Source organism: Homo sapiens, chromosome 18 (genome assembly GCF_000001405.40).
Source record: "Homo sapiens chromosome 18, GRCh38.p14 Primary Assembly".
NCBI classification, from domain to species: domain Eukaryota; kingdom Metazoa; phylum Chordata; class Mammalia; order Primates; family Hominidae; genus Homo; species Homo sapiens.
In genome coordinates, this window is record NC_000018.10 from 75,835,862 (window position 1) to 75,859,349 (window position 23,488).

At 41.6% G+C, this 23,488-nt stretch overlaps 2 annotated features.

Annotated features, from left to right (window-relative positions):
- Window positions 10,609-11,248: an enhancer, noted in NCBI's record as "OCT4-NANOG-H3K27ac-H3K4me1 hESC enhancer chr18:73558425-73559064 (GRCh37/hg19 assembly coordinates)". NCBI's record gives its function as "activates a minimal SCP1, AML or CMV promoter by ChIP-STARR-seq in primed H9 embryonic stem cells {active_cell/tissue: H9 hESC(primed)}" and the evidence as "EXISTENCE:reporter gene assay evidence [ECO:0000049][PMID:30033119]".
- Window positions 11,249-11,886: an enhancer, noted in NCBI's record as "OCT4-NANOG-H3K27ac-H3K4me1 hESC enhancer chr18:73559065-73559702 (GRCh37/hg19 assembly coordinates)". NCBI's record gives its function as "activates a minimal SCP1, AML or CMV promoter by ChIP-STARR-seq in naive H9 embryonic stem cells {active_cell/tissue: H9 hESC(naive)}" and the evidence as "EXISTENCE:reporter gene assay evidence [ECO:0000049][PMID:30033119]".

Sequence of the window (23,488 nt, forward strand, 5' to 3'; positions counted from 1 at the left end):
ATTAATTGATAGAACATATTAGCTTAAAAAGATTTCATATGTTTCTTTTTTTAATGGTGTTGGCATGACTCGCCAATTCTATCAAAATAATTAAAAGTCATCATGGACATATTAGACTCCGTGGTTAAATTTTAGCCATATTCTCAGATGTTTAAATGTTTTCTAAAAGTCCTCCTTGTTTTAATTTCAGGCGAAAAATGTTCTTCAGGAAAGGTATATAAATTTTAGTACAGTATTATAATAAAAACTTTTTCGTATGCAGATCCAGTTTAACATTTTGCATTTAAAAGGATTAACGCTTTCCACATTCTTTTTTAGTTGGTGCTCAGATAAATATGTGTATTTACAAACATATCAAATATTCTTTGCAGGTTTGTTACCAACACCTGCTATTTATGATAGCCTAAGAAGCCCTAATTAGCAACTTTGGAATACACATCTCAGAAGAACATAGTGATACATTTGGAGTACTGGGTTCTGGAGATAACCTTCTTAAACTCCACTAAAGAGCAACCAAACTCATCACTCTGAGCAAGAAGGAAGATTGAGGCAAACACCCTATTGTGCATAGTGTTAGCACAAATAAACAACTGGTACGATCATCAAAAACTCTAGTTCCCAGCAACACATCTGAAATGGTCAGTTATCAATTTCCTGGGTAATATGCCCATTAAATAGCAAAAGGACACAAAAAACAGTTGGAAACATCAGCAGAAAGCTTAACTCCTGGCACCAGAATATCCATGTCCAGCCGTGCCTGCCCACAGCAATGCCAGCTGCCTGGCAATCATTAAAGGAACATGGTAGCTAGGGAAATCAGAGTTTCTTTTAACTCTATTGGAGAGGCTGTAGCAGAACTGAAACTACTAGGGAAACCCCAGAGCATGGCAACCCCACAATCAGGAGCAAACCCCACGATTCTCCATGTCATGTGCATTTAGAAGCAGGAGAAAATCAGAAAGAAGCAATTCAAATCTGCTAAGAATGTTTGTAAGTGTAATCATGCTCTTGGGAACTCAAAGAAGTCTGTCTAATCTCCCCAATAGATCTGTTCATCTCTGTTACCAACATGGGTGATTTATTCATCTATTCTCAGAAATTTCTGTGAATAAGCTAGTTTGGTAACGGGCATTTATGAAACCTTTTCATTAATATGAAAATTCATCCCTAAAACACGAAACAAAGATGTCAATTGGGAGACAGTATTGTTTCTGGAGTAGGCAGAATGACTCCCCAAGGTCGCCCACACCCTCATCTGCACCTGTGAATATGTTACATTACACAGCAAAAGCGACTTAGCAAATGTGATTCAGGTTATGGACTTTCATATAGGAAGATTATGTTGGATTCTTCAAGGTAACTCAATCTAATCACATGAACTTTTAAAAGCAGAGAACTTTCTCCGGCTGAAGACAGACGAGATAGGGCAGAAGGAAAAGTCAGATTGGAAAGTTAGGAGGGATCTTGCCATGTTGTTGCCAGTTTGAAGGGGAGGCCAGGTAATACATGGGGCTGGCCCCTAGGGATAGATAGCTGCCTACTGGCCAGCCAGCAAGAAAAGTGGGATCTCTGCTCTGCAGCTCCAAGCAGCTAAGTTCAGTCAGCAACCTGAATGAGCTTGGAAGTGGGCGCTCCCCCAAGCCTCTAGCTAAGAGCCCAGGCTGGACAATATCTAGTAAGACCCTAAGCAGAGAAACCAGTCAAGCCCCCTGGACATCTGAGCTACAGAACAGTGAGGCAATACATAGGTGTTGTTTTTAGCAGTTACATTTGTAGTACATTTTTATGGCAGCAATTGAAAACTAATAGAAGTAGTTTTGATCGTATTTTGACATTGTCTTATAAATATACTCTTCCTATGTGCATTAGGATTTCAGCTCACTATCAGGGAAGGCAAGTGAATCTGATTCTGCAAATGATCCAGATCCCAGGTTTTAGGGACAGAAACATTCCCTGGGTGCGCAATGTGTTTCTGCCAGCTGTAGCTAGGCATCATGTCCTGTGGGTGTCCCAACACTCACGAGGAAGACAACAGTGAAGATTCACAACACAGGAGGCACCTCATTGGTAATATTTAAAGGATGTTGGAAAGACTTATCACCCTCCCTCAAAAGTATCCCCCATTACTCTTTCTGCCATTCCTTTAGGGTATTTATGGGATAGTTCCACTGATCAGAGAGTTTTTTGCTTGCTTAATGCAAATTTTCTGTAGGAAAGCAGGGATTTTCTGTTAAATTTTCATACATTTAATCAGCTTCTTTCCTCCAAATATCTAGGATAGTTATCTTCAAGGAAGTAAGGGGGTTCTTTGAGCCTGGAAAAAGATTGTGATGGTTAATATTGAGTGTCAGCTTGATTGGATTGAAGGATGCAAAGTTTTATTCTTGGATGTGTCTGTAAGGGTGTTGCCAAAGGAGATTAACAACTGAGTCAGTGGATTGGGAGAGGCAGACCCACCCTCAATCTGGGTAGGCATCATCTAATCAGCTGCCAGTCTGCTAGAAAAAAAGCAGGCAGAAGAAGGTGGAGTGAGCAGACTTGCTGAGTCTTCCAACCTTCGTCTTTCTTCTGTGCTGGATGCTTCCTGCCCTTGCACAACAGACTCCAAGTTCTTCAGCTTTTGGACTCTTGAACTTACACAAGTGGTTTGCTAGGGACTCTCGGGCCTTCTGCCACAGACTGAAGGCTGCACTGTTGGCTTCCCTACACTACCAACAATTTATACTGTTAATCTTTCTACCACCCTTCCCTAAAGAGATCTCCATCCTTTTACCAGGGTAACTGTGCAATAGGGAAAGAAGGATGATCAGACCTTTTAGGGACTACTGGACACGGCTCCTTGCTGACATTGATTCCAGGGGACCCAAAACGTCATTGTGGTCCTCCAGTTAAAGTAGGGGCTTAGGGAGGTCAAGTACTTAATGGAGTTTTAGCTCAGGTTTGACTTACAGTGGGTCCAGTGGGTTCCTGGACTCTCTTGTGGACATTTCCCCACTGCCGGAATGCATGACTGGCATAGATACACTTAGCAGCTGGCAGAATCCCTACAGTGGCTCTTTGACCAGTAGGGTAAGGGCTATTAAAGGAGCCATTACAACTGCCTGTACCTAGAAAAATAATAAATCAAAAACAATGTCGCATCCCTGGAGGGGTTGCAGAGATTAGTTCCACCATCAAGGACTTGAAAGAGGCAGAAGTGGTGATTCCCACCACATCCCCATTCAACTCTCCAGTTTGGCCCATGCAGAAGACAGATGTGTCTTGGAGAATGACGGTGGATTATCGTAAGCTTAACCAAGTGGTGACTCCAATTGCAGCTGCTCTACCAGATGTGGTTTCATTGCTTGAGCAAATTAACATATCTCCTGGTACCTGGTATGGTACGCAGCCATTGATTTGGCAAATGCCTTTTCCTCCATTCCTGGCCATAAGGCCCACCGGGAGCAATTTGCCTTCAACTGGAAAAGCCAGCAATATACCTTTACTGTCCTACCTCGGGGGTGTATCAACCCTCCGGCTTTGTGCCATAATCTTGTTTGGAGAGAACTTGATCACTTTTCCCTTCCACAAGATATCATACTGGTCAATTACACTGATGACATTATGCTGATTGGACCCAGTGAATGAGATGTAGCAAACACGCTGATCTGATTGGTAAGATATTTGCATGCCACGGGATAAGAAATAAATCCGATTAAAATTCAGAGACCTCTACCTCAGTGAAATTTCTAGGTGTCCAGTGGTGTGAAGCCTGTCGAGATATTCCTTCTAAGGTGAAGGATACATTTTTGCATTCGGCCCCTCCTACAACCAAAAAAGAGGCACAATGCTTACAGGGCCTATTTGGATTTTGGAGGCAACACATTTCTCATTTGAGTGTGTTACTCTGGCCCATTTATCAAGTGACCTGAAAGGCTGCAAGTTTGGGTGGGGTCCAGAACAGGAAAAGGCTCTGCAACAGGTCCAGGATGTTGTGCAAGCTGCTCTGCCACGTGGGCCAAAGGGCCCAGCAGATCCAATGGTGCTTGAGGTTTCAGTGGCAGATAGGGATGCTGTTTGTAGCCTTTGGCAGGCCCCCACAGGTGAATCACAGTGGAGGCCTCTAGGATTTTGGAGCACGGCTCTGCCATATTCTGCAGATAACTACTCTCCTCTTGAGAGACAGCTCTTGGCCTGTTACTGGGCTCTGGTGGAAACTGAATGTCTGACTATAGGTCATCAAGTCGCCATGTGACCTGAATTATCATGAACTGAGTGCTTTCTGACCCATCTAGCCATAAAGTGGGTCATGCACAGCAGCATTCCATCATCAAATGGAAGTGATATATGTGTGATCGGGCTCAAGCAAGTCCTGAAGGCACAAGTAAGTTACGTGAGGAAGTGGCTCAAAGGCCCATGGTCCCCACTCCTGCCACCCTGCCTTCTCTCTTCTGGCCTGCACCAGTGGTTTCATGGAGAGTTCCTTATGATCAGTTGACAGAGAAAGAGAAGACTAGGGCCTGGTTCATAAATGGTTCTGCACGATATGCAGACACCACCCAAAAATGGACAACTGCAGCACTACAGCCGCTTTCTAGGATATCCCTGAAGGACAGTGGCAAAGGGAAATCTTCCCTGTAGGCAGAACTTCAAGCACTGCACCTGGTTGTGCACTTTGCTTAGAAGAAGAAGTGGCCAGATGTGCGATTATATACTGATTCATGCATGCACTATAGCCAATGGTTTGGCTGCGTGGTCAGAGACTTGAAAGACACATGATTGGAAAATTAATGACAAAGACACTTGGGGAAGAGGTATGTGGAGAGACCTCTCTGAGTGGTCAAAAACTGTGAAGATATTTGTATCTCATGTGAATGCTCACCTAAGGGTTACCTCAGCAGAGGAGGATTTTAATAATCAAGTGGATAGGATGACTCATTCTGTGAATGCCACTCAGCATCTTTTTCCAGTCACCCCGTCATCACCCAATGGACCCATGAACAAAGTGGCCATGGTGGCAGGGATGGAGGTTACGCATGGGCTCAGCAACATGGACTTCCACTCACCAAGGCTGACCTGGCTGTGCCACTGCTGAGTGCCCAATTTGCCAGCAGCAGAGACCAACACTAAGCCCTTCATATGGCACCATTCCTCTGGGTGATTGGCCAGCTACTTGGTGGCAGGTTGATTATACTGGACCTCTTCCATCACAGAAAGGGCAGTGGTTTGTCCTCATCTGAATAAATACTTACTCTGGATATGGGTTTGCCTAACCTGCACGCAATGCTTCTGCTGAGACTACCATAGATGAACTCATGAAATGCCTTATCCACCGTCCACACAGCATTGCCTCTGACCAAGACACGTCGTGGCTGAAAAAGTGTGGCAGTGCGCTCATGCTTAGGAAATTTACTGATCTTACCATGTTTCCCATCATTCTGAAGCAGCTGGATTGATAGAATAGTGGAATGGCCTTTTGAAATCACATTTACAATGCCAGCTAGGTGACAATACTTTGCAGGTCTGGGGCAAAGTTCTCCAGAAGACTGTGTATGCTCTGAATCAGCACCCAATATATCGTACTGTTTTCCCATTGCCAGGATTCATGGGTCCAGGAATCAAGGGGTGGAAGTGGAAGTGGCACCACTCACCGTCACCCCTAGTGACCCACTAGCAAACTTTTTTGCTTCCTGTTCCCGTGACATTATGTTCGACAGGCCTAGAGGTTTTAGTTTCAGAGGGAGGAATGCTGCCACCAGGAGACACAACAATGATTCCATTAAACTGGAAGTTAAGATTGCCACCTGGACACTTTGGGCTCCTCCTTCCTTTAAGTGGACAGCTTAGCTAAGAAGGCTACGATGGGAGTTACAGTGTTGGCCAGGGTGGTTGACCTGGACTCTCAAGATGAAATCAGTCTACTACTCCATAATGGAGATAAGAAAGAGAATGTGTGGAATACAGGAGATCCTTTAGGGCATCTCTTAGTATCACCATGCCCTGTGATTAGGGTCAATGAGAAACTACAACAACCCAATCCAGGCAGGACTACAAATGGCCCAGACCCTTCAGGAATGAAGGTTTGGGTCACTCCACCAGGAAAAAAACCATGACCTGCTGAGGTGCTTGCTGAGGGCAAAGGGAATACAGAATGGGTAATAGAAGAAGCTTGTCATCAATACCAGCTACAACCATGTGATCAGTTCCAGAAATGAGGACTGTAATTTTCATGAGTATTTCCTCCTCACTTTCTTAAAAATATGTTTTTGCATGTATACACTTGCACTAAGAAGATATCTTCATTTTACGTCCCCTCTTTTTCCTTTATCATGTGACATAAGATTTATTGCCTTCATATCAGCATTTCAGTGTTGTTAACTTTATGTAATAGCATTTAGGTTAAGGATTAGTGCACTTCTGGTTGTGGGAAGGATAGCTGTATCATGTTAGGTGTAATTATGACCTTATTACTGTCTTTACTTGAAGATTATGTATGATTTTGGGAGATGTATATGAGCTCAAATTTGAAAAGGGGTGGACTTGTGGTGGTTAATATTAAGTGTCAACTTGATTGGATTGAAGGATGCAAAGTTTTGTTCCTGGTTGTGTCTGTGAGGGTATTGCCAAAGGAGATTAACATTTGAGTTGGTAGCCTGGGAGAGACAGACTCACCCTCAATCTGGGTGGGCCCCATCTAATCAGCTGCCAGCACGGATAGAAAAAAGCAGGCGGAAGAAGGCGGAATAGGCAGACCTGCTGAGTCCTCCGGCCTTCTTCTTTCTCCCGTGCTGCATGCTTCCTGCCCTTGCACATCAGACGCCAAGTTCTTCAGCTTTTGGACTCTTAGACTTATACCAGTGATTTGCCAGGGACTCTCGGGCCTTCAACCACAGATTGAAGGCTGCACTGTCAGCTTCCCTACTTTTGAGGTTTTGTGTTCCTTGCTCCTCAGCTTGCCTATTCTGGAACTTCACCTTGTGATCATGTGAGTCAATTCTCCTAATAAACTGCATCTATCCTATTAGTTCTGTCCTTCTAAAGAACCCTGACTAATACAAAGACTTAGAAGAAAGTTAAATGAAAACATGAGGTGCTTTGGGAAAAACAAAGGCTCGTGGAGGTAATACAGACCCTCAGGGAACTCCAAATCAACCTGAAGCCAGTGGATCTCTGAGTAGGAAAAAACAGGAGAGACAAAAGAAAGGTACTGAAAAAAGACAAAAGCCAGCATGCACTCTTCGTAAAATCTTACTTAGGGTGACCCTTCCTCTGGGTTAGGGCCAAAGACCCCAGTGCATTTGGATACCTGCGACCCTTCTCCGAATGGTGTTTGTCAGTGAACACAAGGGGTTGCATAGAGTTATCAAGGAAACCAGTTATGTTGAAATTAAATTTTCACAATGTTAAAAGGATGTGTGGCATCATAATGTTTTTCTTTATTAGCATTTTAAATAAATATAACGAGTTGCAGATCAAATACTCATAACCAAAATATCAAAGTAGTGATGAGCTTAAATTGTATTTCAGGTTATCTGCTACACCTGTGAAATGGTATGAAAATATCTGTGATTTCTATCACTGACAAAATCGCTGTATTGCTATGCTTCTATGGTTTGCAGCCTGTATTCGTCATTGAAAAAAAGATTCTTTTTTTAGTTGGAGGTTCGTGCAGAATTAAGATGCAATTTTTTCCACAGCCAACCATGCTCTCCTCTGAATTCATTCCATGGAACAAACTTCTCCAAGGGGACCCCAGATAGATCCATGACCCCAGATGAGGAAATCTTGCTGCTCTAGGGGACTTTGGGCATCTAGATATCACTTTAAATGTTACAATGCCACGTAAACATTATGAATAAAACATACTGAAATTTTTGAAAAATCATAAAAATGAAAAAGTAATTTAGAAATACAGGATTTAAAACATGAGAAATTTTGAATTCTCCTAAATCACAAGAATAGGTAATTTCTGAGAATATTTTCTATGAAATTATGAATTTTATTTTCATCTGAAGAGTGTTCCATATAAAAAAAACACATAATATGTAGAGGGGGTAAGACACATTTAATTATAGTTTTGTGCCTTATTATTAAGGGGGCGGATGAAACTATTTTGCAAAGTCTTAGGTGAAACCTGTCCATTCAAGTCAAAGAATGTGTACAAGGAATGCTTCCTTAGAATTCCCATTCTCTGGAAATTAATGCTTTTATGGTGCTGATCCAATGATAAAACCTAGGATGAGATTTCCTGCTTTCTGATTTCCACATTAGGATCTGATTCATGGGAACTGAGCCTTCCCCAAAGAATTGCAGTTAAATGAATATCCCCAAGAAGGTGAGCACATTTTCCTGTCCATTCAAAATGTAAAATACCTAGGTTGTTTAAGCATGAGCAACACATAGTCAAGTGGCCCCAGTGAGTTTTTACCCCTGTGGATAATTATGAAACAACCAGGAAGTAATAAAAAATTTCTGCCTCATGAGAAATGTATTCTAGCTCAGACTCCAGAGCAGCTGAGTGACCTCCCTTCAAAGTCAGGCAGGAGGGAGACATCGCGAGGTGTCCACTGGGTCCTAACTGTCGAATTGTCAGGGTTAGGAGAAGGTTCCTTCCCAGATTTTATTCAGACCTGGAGAGCTGTACAGAAGCAAAGAGAAACAGGCATGATTACCATTTAAACTGTTGAAGATGTTACAATTGACAATTATAAAAGAGAAATTTTGGACAGAAATGGATAATTCTCTGTGACTAGCAGGTCACTAGGAGCAGAAAGTGGCAGATATGAGGATCAACGAAATGTGCAGAAACAGGTGCTACCTCCCAATAAGACCGGTGAAGACACCTTCATTCCCTCTAGTTATGGGGTGAGAAGAGGCTTCACCAGCCGCATTACAACCAGGTCTGCATGTTACTTTAAGGTGTTTTTTTGTGACTTTATGCTTAGGTCAATGGTTTAGCCAACTGCATCTTGTCCATTCACAGTTTTTCCACTGCCTATAGAATTCAGTTGAAAATCATTCTTTGGTTGTTTTTGTAGCCATCTGTTGTTTCTGAGTGCCCAGGTACCTTCCTCCCATCTTCTCATAAGAGAACCCCTTTTTAGGGGGATAATTCCCTTCTCTTCATGAGGTCCTGATGAGGCTGCCAATCCAAGTACCTAGATGCCCTGGCCACAGGTGGGAGAGTGAGTCTGTTACATGAGTCTGTCATGTGGGGTGATGTGGGGTCCATCCCCAAGAACATCATCATTATCTCAGGATGGACACAGCATCTGTTAGGTCTATCAGAGTCCTCATCTGGGAAAACAGGAGACAGAAGCGCTGCGTTTACTCTGGGATGACACAAGTCCAGAGTGGTATAAACCCCCCTCACTTTCTTCCTCTCCATCGAGCAAGCCATTGACTATTGGAGGAAATACTGACTGCTCCAGTGGAAGAAAGAAGAGGATGATAGATGGAAAGAGGAAGGAGGGAGACAGAAAAGACAGGGCGGGAGAGGGAGTGAGAGGGGGAAGAAAGTAGAAACAAAGGGAAGGAAAGTGGATAACTGGAGGAAACTAACATTGGTCCAATCCTCGGAGCTCCTGAGGCCACTTCCACTGCTAACTTTGAAGGATCCAGGTCAATAGATGTCCCCTTTAGCTTAAGCTGCCTTTTGTACTCTGTGTCTTCTCCATGTCCAGGGGCACCTAACTAGATTCATTCACCAGTCTCTTTGCAGTTCAGGGTAGCCTGTGACTGGATCTGGTGATTACGATGTTGACACAAGTCGGGCCTGGCTTTGTCCTCTCCCATCTCCCCCATGGTCCCATCTCCCCTATGGTATCCCCCTGGCCCTTTTCTCTTTCTGAGCAGCTGGAATGAAACACCTTGAGGAAGGCCTTGGAAGCCAAGTGTGCAAGAGACAGCAAGTTCTCTGAATGACTACAGCCAAGAGGAAGGCCCCACTGACTGTTCAGCTGACACTGTCTCAGCTATCTCAAAGTTTGGCCATTTTTTAATAGCAGTAAGTAGTTCTGTGACTAATATATTGGGTTTCTGTCACGTGAAACAAATCCTAAGAACATAGGGATTGTTAAGAACATTTTGACACCAAGAATGGCATAAGAATGGTATACATGCATTGACAAAAATGATTTGGGAAGACATTACTCACTACTCAGAAAGCAGCTCCTCCACAGAGCAGAAGGCTTGCTCCACTGGGTAGGGCAGGTGCAACAAAAGAAGCCAGCATGTCTGATATCCTCACCTCTGCCTGACACCACATCCCAGCCCATCCACAGGTGAAGAAAAAAAGGTGAATCTGGTCCTTCTCTCTTTAAGTTGCCCAACTTTGCTGCTGGAGAAACTCCACTCACTGGGGTACCGTACTTAGTTTAGACTGTCATTTTCTAAGTGGCCAGGGTAACCTGACAGTGTTCCCATAAGGTTCAAATTTTATTTAATTTCTAAAATAAAATATGTTCCATCTAGGTGAGCAGGAAGTCAAGTCTGTCCTCAGGAGCTTCCTCATGGAAAATCTCCAAGGGACTCAATGTGATGCACTCTGACCCATGAGCCACGTGCTCCCTGCCTGCCAGGAGGGCAGGAGCCCAGATTCTCTCTGCCTCCACCTCCATAGCCCAGACCTCCAGACAGCCCCGCCCTGGGCTTCGTCCATCCATCCCCACTGGCTGCCCCAGCAGACACCTATAGCTGCAGGGGAACTTGAGAATGAGGGCATCTGGAAGAAAGTCTGCCCCACCTCAACAATGTCCACAGCTTGCATCAGCTGGTCTGAGTATTCTGCAGTTTTTAAATAACAAGATGCCTGATAAAACAGATCCTGGCCACATACTCACTGGGCAAACCAAGCATTCTACACACTTGCTACTTCAGTGGCGACCAAAAAGGAGGTGGTGGTGGTGGCTGCTGCTGTACAAGGGAGGACTACATTGGCTGCTGTCAACACATTGATTGACTGCCATCAAGAATGAGCAGGGGCAGGTGCCAGTTAAGATTAAAATGTCGAGGAGGAGGAGCCAAGATGTCCGAATAGGAACAGCTCCGGTCTACAGCTCCCAGCGTGAGCGACGCAGAAGACGGGTGATTTCTGCATTTCCATCTGAGGTACCGGGTTCATCTCACTAGGGAGTGCCAGACAGTGGGCGCAGGCCAGTGTGTGTGCGCACCGTGCGCGAGCCGAAGCAGGGCGAGGCATTGCCTCACCTGGGAAGCGCAAGGGGTCAGGGAGTTCCCTTTCCGAGTCAAAGAAAGGGGTGACGGACGCACCTGGAAAATCGGGTCACTCCCACGCGAATATTGCGCTTTTCAGACCGGCTTAAGAAACGGCGCACCACGAGACTATATCCCACACCTGGCTCAGAGGGTCCTACGCCCACGGAATCTCGCTGATTGCTAGCACAGCAGTCTGAGATCAAACTGCAAGGCGGCAGCGAGGCTGGGGGAGGGGCGCCCACCATTGCCCAGGCTTGCTTAGGTAAACAAAGCAGCCAGGAAGCTCGAACTGGGTGGAGCCCACCACAGCTCAAGGAGGCCTGCCTGCCTCTGTAGGCTCCACCTCTGGGGGCAGGGCACAGACAAACAAAAAGACAGCAGTAACCTCTGCAGACTTAAGTGTCCCTGTCTGACAGCTTTGAAGAGAGCAGTGGTTCTCCCAGCACGCAGCTGGAGATCTGAGAACGGGCAGACTGCCTCCTCAAGTGGGTCCCTGACCCCTGACCCCCGAGCAGCCTAACTGGGAGGCACCCCCCAGCAGGGGCACACTGACACCTCACACGGCAGGGTATTCCAACAGACCTGCAGCTGAGGGTCCTGTCTGTTAGAAGGAAAACTAACAACCAGAAAGGACATCTACACCGAAAACCCATCTGTACATCACCATCATCAAAGACCAAAAGTAGATAAAACCACAAAGATGGGGAAAAAACAGAACAGAAAAACTGGAAACTCTAAAACGCAGAGCGCCTCTCCTCCTCCAAAGGAACGCAGTTCCTCACCAGCAACAGAACAAAGCTGGATGGAGAATGATTTTGACGAGCTGAGAGAAGAAGGCTTCAGACGATCAAATTACTCTGAGCTATGGGAGGACATTCAAACCAAAGGCAAAGAAGTTGAAAACTTTGAAAAAAATTTAGAAGAATGTATAACTAGAATAACCAATACAGAGAAGTGCTTAAAGGAGCTGATGGAGCTGAAAACCAAGGCTCGAGAACTACGTGAAGAATGCAGAAGCCTCAGGAGCCGATGCGATCAACTGGAAGAAAGGGTATCAGCAATGGAAGATGAAATGAATGAAATGAAGTGAGAAGGGAAGTTTAGAGAAAAAAGAATAAAAAGAAATGAGCAAAGCCTCCAAGAAATATGGGACTATGTGAAAAGACCAAATCTACGTCTGATTGGTGTACCTGAAAGTGATGCGGAGAATGGAACCAAGTTGGAAAACACTCTGCAGGATATTATCCAGGAGAACTTCCCCAATCTAGCAAGGCAGGCCAATGTTCAGATTCAGGAAATACAGAGAACGCCACAAAGATACTCCTCGAGAAGAGCAACTCCAAGACACATAATTGTCAGATTCACCAAAGTTGAAATGAAGGAAAAAATGTTAAGGGCAGCCAGAGAGAAAGGTCGGGTTACCCTCAAAGGAAAGCCCATCAGACTAACAGCGGATCTCTCGGCAGAAACCCTACAAGCCAGAAGAGAGTGGGGGCCAATATTCAACATTCTTAAAGAAAAGAATTTTCAACCCAGAATTTCATATCCAGCCAAACTAAGCTTCATAAGTGAAGGAGAAATAAAATACTTTATAGACAAGCAAATGCTGAGAGATTTTGTCACCACCAGGCCTGCCCTAAAAGAGCTCCTGAAGGAAGTGCTAAACATGGAAAGGAACAACCAGTACCAGCCGCTGCAAAATCATGCCAAAATGTAAAGACCATCGAGACTAGGAAGAAACTGCATCAACTAATGAGCAAAATCACCAGCTAACATCATAATGACAGGATCAAATTCACACATAACAATATTAACTTTAAATATAAATGGACTAAATTCTGCAATTAAAAGACACAGACTGGCAAGTTGGATAAAGAGTCAAGACCCATCAGTGTGCTGTATTCAGGAAACCCATCTCACGTGCAGAGACACACATAGGCTCAAAATAAAAGGATGGAGGAAGATCTACCAAGCAAATGGAAAACAAAAAAAGGCAGGGGTTGCAATCCTAGTCTCTGATAAAACAGACTTTAAACCAACAAAGATCAAAAGAGACAAAGAAGGCCATTACATAATGGTAAAGGGATCAATTCAACAAGAGGAGCTAACTATCCTAAATACTTATGCACCCAATACAGGAGCACCCAGATTCATAAAGCAAGTCCTGAGTGACCTACAAAGAGACTTAGACTCCCACACATTAATAATGGGAGACTTTAACACCCCACTGTCAACATTAGACAGATCAACGAGACAGAAAGTCAACAAGGATACCCAGGAATTGAACTCAGCTCTGCACCAAGCGGACCTAATAGGCATCTACAGAACTCTCCACCCCAAATCAACAGAATATACATTTTTTTCAGCACCACACCACACCTATTCCAAAATTGACCACATAGTTGGAAGTAAAGCTCTCCTCAGCAAATGTAAAAGAACAGAAATTATAACAAACTATCTCTCAGACCACAGTGCAATCAAACTAGAACTCAGGATTAAGAATCTCACTCAAAGCCGCTCAACTACATGGAAACTGAACAACCTGCTCCTGAATGACTACTGGGTACATAACGAAATGAAGGCAGAAATAAAGATGTTCTTTGAAACCAACGAGAACAAAGACACCACATACCAGAATCTCTGGGACGCATTCAAAGCAGTGTGTAGAGGGAAATTTATAGCACTAAATGCCTACAAGAGAAAGCAGGAAAGATCCAAAATTGACACCGTAACATCACAATTAAAAGAACTAGAAAAGCAAGAGCAAACACATTCAAAAGCTAGCAGAAGGCAAGAAATAACTAAAATCAGAGCAGAACTGAAGGAAATAGAGACACAAAAAACCCTTCAAAAAATCAATGAATCCAGGAGCTGGTTTTTTGAAAGGATCAACAAAATTGATAGACCGCTAGCAAGACTAATAAAGAAAAAAAGAGAGAAGAATCAAATAGACACAATAAAAAATGATAAAGGGGATATCACCACCGATCCCACAGGAATACAAACTACCATCAGAGAATACTACAAACACCTCTACGCAAATAAACTAGAAAATCTAGAAGAAATGGATACATTCCTCGACACATACACTCTCCCAAGACTAAACCAGGAAGAAGTTGAATCTCTGAATAGACCAATAACAGGCTCTGAAATTGTGGCAATAATCAATAGTTTACCAACCAAAAAGAGTCCAGGACCAGATGGATTCACAGCCGAATTCTACCAGAGGTACAAGGAGGAACTGGTACCATTCCTTCTGAAACTATTCCAATCAATAGAAAAAGAGGGAATCCTCCCTAACTCATTTTATGAGGCCAGCATCATTCTGATACCAAAGCCGGGCAGAGACACAACCAAAAAAGAGAATTTTAGACCAATATCCTTGATGAACATTGATGCAAAAATCCTCAATAAAATACTGGCAAACCGAATCCAGCAGCACATCAAAAAGCTTATCCACCATGATCAAGTGGGCTTCATCCCTGGGATGCAAGGCTGGTTCAATATACGCAAATCAATAAATGTAATCCAGCATATAAACAGAGCCAAAGACAAAAACCACATGATTATCTCAATAGATGCAGAAAAAGCCTTTGACAAAATTCAACAACCCTTCATGCTAAAAACTCTCAATAAATTAGGTATTGATGGGATGTATTTCAAAATAATAAGAGCTATCTATGACAAACCCACAGCCAATATCATACTGAATGGGCAAAAACTGGAAGCATTCCCTTTGAAAACTGGCACAAGACAGGGATGCCCTCTCTCACCGCTCCTATTCAACATAGTGTTGGAAGTTCTGGCCAGGGCAATCAGGCAGGAGAAGGAAATAAAGGGTATTCAATTAGGAAAAGAGGAAGTCAAATTGTCCCTGTTTGCAGACGACATGATTGTTTATCTAGAAAACCCCATCGTCTCAGCCCAAAATCTCCTTAAGCTGATAAGCAACTTCAGCAAAGTCTCAGGATACAAAATCAATGTACAAAAATCACAAGCATTCTTATACACCAACAACAGACAAACAGAGAGCCAAATCATGGGTGAACTCCCATTCACAATTGCTTCAAAGAGAATAAAATACCTAGGAATCCAACTTACAAGGGATGTGAAGGACCTCTTCAAGGAGAACTACAAACCACTGCTCAAGGAAATAAAAGAGGACACAAACAAATGGAAGAACATTCCATGCCCATGGGTAGGAAGAATCAATATCGTGAAAATGGCCATACTGCCCAAGGTAATTTACAGATTCAATGCCATCCCCATCAAGCTACCAATGACTTTCTTCACAGAATTGGAAAAAACTACTTTAAAGTTCATATGGAACCAAAAAAGAGCCCGCATCGCCAAGTCAATCCTAAGCCAAAAGAACAAAGCTGGAGGCATCACACTACCTGACTTCAAACTATACTACAAGGCTACAGTAACCAAAACAGCATGGTACTGGTACCAAAACAGAGATATAGATCAATGGCACAGAACAGAGCCCTCAGAAATAATGCCGCATATCTACAACTATCTGATCTTTGACAAACCTGAGAAAAACAAGCAATGGGGAAAGGATTCCCTATTTAATAAATGGTGCTGGGAAAACTGGCTAGCCATATGTAGAAAGCTGAAACTGGATCCCTTCCTTACACCTTATACAAAAATCAATTCAAGATGGATTAAAGATTTAAACGTTAAACCTAAAACCATAAAAACCCTAGAAGAAAACCTAGGCATTACCATTCAGGACATAGGCGTGGGCAAGGACTTCATGTCCAAAACACCAAAAGCAATGGCAACAAAAGACAAAATTGACAAATGGGATCTAATTAAACTAAAGAGCTTCTGCACAGCAAAAGAAACTACCATCAGAGTGAACAGGCAACCTACAACATGGGAGAAAATTTTCGCAACCTACTCGTCTGACAAAGGGCTAATATCCAGAATCTACAATGAACTCAAACAAATTTACAAGAAAAAAACAAACAACCCCATCAAAAAGTGGGTGAAGGACATGAACAGACACTTCTCAAAAGAAGACATTTATGCAGCCAAAAAACACATGAAGAAATGCTCATCATCACTGGCCATCAGAGAAATGCAAATCAAAACCACTATGAGATATCATCTCACACCAGTTAGAATGGCAATCATTAAAAAGTCAGGAAACAACAGGTGCTGGAGAGGATGCGGAGAAATAGGAACACTTTTACACTGTTGGTGGGACTGTAAACTAGTTCAACCATTGTGGAAGTCAGTGTGGCGATTCCTCAGGGATCTAGAACTAGAAATACCATTTGACCCAGCCATCCCATTACTGGGTATATACCCAAAGGACTATAAATCATGCTGCTATAAAGACACATGCACACGTATGTTTATTGCGGCACTATTCACAATAGCAAAGACTTGGAACCAACCCAAATGTCCAACAATGATAGACTGGATTAAGAAAATGTGGCACATATACACCATGGAATACTATGCAGCCATAAAAAATGATGAGTTCATATCCTTTGTAGGGACATGGATGAAATTGGAAACCATCATTCTCAGTAAACTATCGCAAGAACAAAAAACCAAACACCGCATATTCTCACTCATAGGTGGGAATTGAACAATGAGATCACATGGACACAGGAAGGGGAATATCACACTCTGGGGACTGTGGTGGGGTCGGGGGAGGGGGGAGGGATAGCATTGGGAGATATACCTAATGCTAGATGATACATTAGTGGGTGCAGTGCACCAGCATGGCACATGTATACATATGTAACTAACCTGCACAATGTGCACATGTACCCTAAAACTTAGAGTATAATTAAAAAAAAAAAAAAAAAGAAAAAGGAAAAACTTGGAATCAACCTAAATGTCCCATCAATAGATGCATGAATAAAGAAAATGTGGCAAATACACAAAATAAAACACTATTCAGCATTTAAAAAGAAGAAAATTCTGACATTTGTGACAACATGGAGGAACCTGGAGAACATTGTCACTGAAGTAAGCCAAGCACAGAAGACAATTATCACTTACATACGGAATCTGAAATAATTGAACTCACACAAGTAGAGAATACAATGGTGGTTACCAGGGACTGGAGGAGAGGAGGTGTATTGGGGTGATGTGGATACAAAATTTCAGTGAATACAAAAATACAAAATTTTCAGTGGATACAAAATTTCAATTAGATAGGAGGAATAAGTTCAAGAGGTCTATTGCAAAACATTGTGACTATGGGGAATAACAATGTTTTTTTTTAATTACTAAGAAAAATTTCTAAGTGTTCTCACCACAAAATCATAAATATGTGAGTAATGCATATATTAATTGGCTAGATTTAGCCTTTTCACAATGTATACATATTTCAAAGTAACATGTTGTACACAATAATGTATATAATTTTTGTCATTGTAAAAATAGATAAATCAATATTTTTAAAATAAAAAAAAAAAAAAGATTAAAGTGTCATTTGAACAACACAAGAGGCCCAGCAGAACAATGCCCCACAGAGCTCTGTTATCTGTCTTTTGCTGAGACATATCCTCCAAATATCTTGCACAGAGAGCAAAGCCATTTCATTAGTTTCAAAAGTGCATTCTTAACAAGTGTGGTGTAGAGGCTGAGCATGGAGGTGCTAAATATTTAAAACAGAGTAAAACAGCCTTGTTGGTTTCCATGTTTGTTTTTTTTTCTTTTAGCACACCTGGATCTTCTTCTTTTTCCTCCTTCTCCTCTTCTTTTTCCTATGGAAATGTACTATTTGTGTGATAATAACATAGGCTTTATTAAGAAGCAGTAAACAATCAAAAACTAACCAAATCGAAAATCAAATCAAAACGAATGAAGTCTGGGTTACAGCAAGCTTTGCTAAGGGCTTTACTACCTTCCAATGGAAACGTGCTCCTCCCACACCCACACTGCAAGGACCATCCTTACAAAAACAGAAACCAAGAAACTCAGTTTGATGAGGTTAGGCGTAATCTCCACTTTCAACAAATCACTTAGAATTAAAATAATTTTTTTATTATGGAAATTTGTCAAACATAAAAGTGAAAAAAAAAAATAGCATCATAAGCCCCATGGATGCCTCTCCCAGTTTTAACAATTATCCAATCATTGCCAATATCGTTTCAACTGTGTCCCCAGCCGGCTCCTCTCCCCTTTCTATAGCCTCGTTGTGAATTCCAGAGAATATCCATACAGATTTCAGGCTGTATTGTATCAAGAATTATTATTTTTTTAAATCAACCTAGGCTTTGCTTCATGAAACAGAGATGACCTAAACCAAGGTAAGAGGGCAGTTGACTCAGCAGCGCCCCCTGGAGAGCAGCATGCTCCTTTAGGCCAAGCTATTGAAAAGACCCCATGTGTGCTTGCTGTTGCTCTTACCAAGAGGTAGTGTCTATCTTCCCTCCTCTTCAATCTAGGCAACCTTGTGAGTTGCTTTGACCAAAAAAGGCAGCAGGGATGTGCTGATTTTAGATCCCTAGGGGCTGGAAGCTTCCATTTCACTCTCAGGCTCTTAGAAGCCAGCCACCATAAAACATAAAATATTCATGTTGGCCCCTGCGTTATGAGAAACTCTGCTGGGAGCATGGGGGTGTCCCGTTGGAGCCCACGAAGCCTCTGCCCTACCTTCCTACTTAGGTCTTTCCCAGCTATTTCTGAAGAGCCCAGGGAATCCACACAACAGTGAGAAGAAGACATCGTTGCTGTTAAATCACTAAATGTATGGTCTTAGGAAAATATTTTCAAATGGCAGAAATACAAATGTTGTATGAAATTTTAACATGACTCGGTCAAGATTCCACAAAGAAAGTGGAGATCAAAAGAAATGTAAATATACAAGGAGCAGAATGGACATAATCGTGCAACATGGCGCAACCGCAAGCAGCATAGATCCAGGTGTCACCTTGGCCGGTTCCGTCCTGGCCCCGCAGCTCGCCACTGCCGGGAGGATGGAAAGTTGACCTCAGTTTTCTCATCTGTAAAATGCAAATTATCCTGCATACCATGTAGGCCTGTCATGAGTATCGAATAAAATAATGAATAATAGACATTTCAAATGAGAAGAGTGGAACTGATGATAACATGAAAGGAAAAGGAGAGATTAAGGTAAGAAAATGGGAGGAGACAAAGCAGAGAAATACAAATAATAAACATTACAAACAAAAAAGGTAATATCATTACAGAAGTAAAGAAAAATTAGCCTAAGAAAATATTATGTAAACCTCTGAACAAATAAATTTGAAAATCTTGAAGAAATAACTGTTTTCTGATCATCAGTTTTAACCCAAGAAAAAAATAGAAATCCTGAATAGACAAACTAGAAGGTATCAAAAATATTGTCAAAGCACCACTTTCAACAAAGACACAAAAACAAATTATTTAACTTTTTTTTTCCTTTTTATCATTCAAATAGCTGATACTTTTTGCAACAGTTTTAAAACACAGAGCATGAAATCAGTGGATATTGGTTTCTATTTATTAATTCTGCTTTGAGATTATTTCTGTTCCTTGTTTTATTTCCTTAGTTTCATAATATTCCTTTTAAATTCGATTTTGTTGTTTTATCTTAGAAGCGTGATCTCTTGCTTTATTGAGTTTATGTTCTCATAAAAGTATCCTATAGAAAGATAAGTATTTATTATAGTTTGTGGAAATTTCTTCTGATCTTGAATTATTAGTTTCCCAGACTAGTTTTTACTTAAATGATGTATAATAGATTGTGCACCTCTTTTACAATCTATAAGAACAAAAACAGTTTGGAAAACGAGTATACTGACAGGAAATGTATGATGTGAAACACATATTTAAAATGTATGATAATTAAAATTATATTTTGCAGGCATAAGAATAAACAGCTGATTGGTTGAAAAATTTCTTTGCAGTATTTGCTGTGTGTACCCATCAATCCCGCCATCCATCTGTCTGCCCATCCATCTATAACTTATCTCTTAAATGTTTTATGTAACGTCTAAATACCATACTGCTACCTTATTTCCTTCTGGGAATCCCTTTCTGCCTGAACTCTCACTCCTGTGATATTTTCTGAGTCTCTATAGAGAGTAACTTTTGCTTTTCCCTGGTAGATCTGAAATGGAAAGGAGGTTAGCTGTGGAGTTGCTCTGGGGAGCCTACAGCTCCCAGGCACCACCATGTAGAGCCATTTTGGAGGACAGCAGAGCTGTGAGTTGGAGCATGAAAGGATCTTGGTGTTTAGATTCTGAGTTCGGGTGTGCCTGGAGCCAACCCTGTCCCTTAGCTTTCCAATTAGATTGAACAATACAAGTTTTTTGAAAAAATTATGTATTTTTTTTTTTACTTAAGGCAGTTTGAGTTACCTTGGTTCTAACTGCTATAGTTTTATTTTCTGAACTTATCTTGAAAAAAACAGCTTTATTGAGATATAATCTGCAGACCACTTATGTAAAGTGCTTTTAGCTTTTAGTGTAGCCACGTTCTTGTGCATCCATCATCGCAATTGTAGAATATCTTCACGATACTGTATTCCTAAGCTATGGTCCTCCCAGTCTCCAGCCCTGAACCACTCCTATTCCCATCCCTAGGGAACCACTAACCAACTTTCTGTTTCTATAGATTTGGAGCCATACGGTATGTGGTTTCTTGTAGGGTGTACTTCATTCTTTTATATTGCCAATTAATATTCTATTGTATCAATGTATCACATTTCATTTATGCATTCATCAGTTGATAGACATTTGAAGAAGAGTGAAAAGACCCACAAATGAGAACTTTGCTAGTGCTCTACTTCTTATATCTTCTTTTTATGCTAAGCTGCCCCTCTGGTGCTCAAACTAACCAGGTCTACAGTGAACATCTATCATTTGGATGCAAAGTTCTTACCTGGGTCCCTCTTTGACTGCCAAGAACAGAGGAGGTGTCAGAGACGACCTTATCAGCTTCTGTGGAAGCAAAGCTCCACCTTTTGAAGATTTAGACCCCAGAGTTCACAATTCTAAAATATTAATGATAGGTTTTGAGGACCATGCTGTTGGTGCTCTTTCCAAAAAGCAGACTCTGCTTAACTAGTAATGGCCATGTGTCCATTTGGAAGACACCACCCATCCAAACCTAAACACAAACAGATTACTAATCAGGCAGTCCTAAATATTTTAATTCATTTATCAATTCTTATATATTTTTTCCATTCCCACTCTACCCTCAACACCTGGGATCGTTGACAGTTGTATGGGAAAATAATAATGCAAGAATACTAACGTTTCCCATTCACATCTCATTCACACCTCTGCTGAGGTGTGAGCAATCATTCAAGCTTGACCACCAAATGCTGTGAAACACGTTAGGGGAGAGGCAGGTAAGGTGAACTGCTCCAAAGAACCCTGCTCAACAGACAAAGGCGGTAATCAGAGAAGAAGTTCACATGATAACCCTTTTTCTCTTCCAGAATGCTCTGGTGGGTTACAATTTATTGAGGCAAAACACCCCTCGTGAGCTTCCTCTCGGTTTTAAACATCAGTTTCTCAAAATAGTGTAGGCATATTAACTATCAATAAATACTTCTTAGGTTTTTTGATCCCTTCTAACACATCTAACATTTGTCCGCCTTTGGAGCTCGGATCTGTTGTTTGTCTGGCACAAGTCAGCTTCTGGGTAAGGCATGCACATTTTATGGCACCTTATATAGACCAGTGAAATAAATACACGAGATGCAAAGCTCAAAGTGATATATTCCAGATCTGACATCTTACCATGGCTTTGAGCTTCAGGCACTGACAAATATTCCACACGTACCAACTCTCCCAGAGGAGGAAATATAATGATGTTTATGTTATGCAATATGTAAAATATTTATACGTTGACTTCAACACAAACTGACTATCATTTAAATCAGGAGGTGCCGCTCACAATAAAGGCAAGTGACATTATCTGCACCACTCTGTGTAGGCAAAGGGGAACTCAGTACAGCAAATGATCCATTTATGTACAGAATAAGATTCCACCAATGTCAGTGTTTTAAAGAATAACAGTTAGGCCGGGCGCGGTGGCTCACGCCTGTAATCCCAGCACTTTGGGAGGCCGAGGCGAGTGGATCATGAGGTCAGGAGATCGAGACCATCCTGGCTAACAAGGTGAAACCCCGTCTCTACTAAAAATACAAAAAATTAGCCGGGCGCGGTGGCGGGCGCCTGTAGTCCCAGCTACTCGGGAGGCTGAGGCAGGAGAATGGCGTGAACCCGGGAAGCGGAGCTTGCAGTGAGCCGAGATTGCGCCACTGCAGTCCGCAGTCCGGCCTGGGCGACAGAGCGAGACTCCGTCTCAAAAAAAAAAAAAAAAAAAAAAAAAGAATAACAGTTATGGGAAAGGTTTTTAATGTGCTTGCTTCTTCTAGAATTGTTAAATTACCAAGAAGGGCAAAATGTATGCCTTCCTGACTATTGCCCTTATCTTTAGAATGGGAAAGTCTTTTCTTCTGACAAACCATTTTTTCATGAATAACCTCTTCAATAGCATTTAGTTATCATTATTAATAAATTGTTACAGTAATAAATTATATTTTAAACATTTTATTAAATGCAGTTCTCATGTACTTAAAATAAATTGCAAAGCCGGCTTTTTTCATGGTATTTAATATATATAGTATGACACAATGTGCTTTTAATATATTTAATGTTATATACTTTAAAATCTAAGTGTGTTGTACTTTTATGGAACTTACTTTATATTCCTTTCTATATGGAAAATGTATTACTTTTTAATATGGGTTCATTGTGCAGTGCCATTAGGAAATAGAGCACGGTTCTTAAAAGTGGTAACTTTCAGAATTTAAGTACATTAAGTGTGGGGGAGGGGAAGAAACTGCATTATGGTAACATCAAGCATCTAATTGAAACTGACAAAAGCAAGGGGAGAAATCTCACACTGACATTGTAATGGCATTCACATTTGCATTGACATCATAACAGTTCTAATGCAAGCACATGAGACACTTCCACGGGCAAAAAAAGACTTCCCCTGACACTCCACCACTTTTGCACTTTCTTTGGACATGCTATCACTGTCATTCAAGATAAAGATAAAAATATTGTGAAAAACATCTTCAGTTCATGCTTATTAGATACTCTCCACAACTGAAATATGGTGTCCATTTTTAAGAGCTTCTTATTTTTAAGCCTCAAAAACACATTGTTTGACTCTCCAGGAAGAATGCATCACCAAATTCTCAATCACTTAAAATTGTTTGGTGAAAAAGAAATTGAAAATTGATTTTGCAGAATTTTTTTTTCCTTTGGCATAGCTCCCTAGGGCAAAAAAA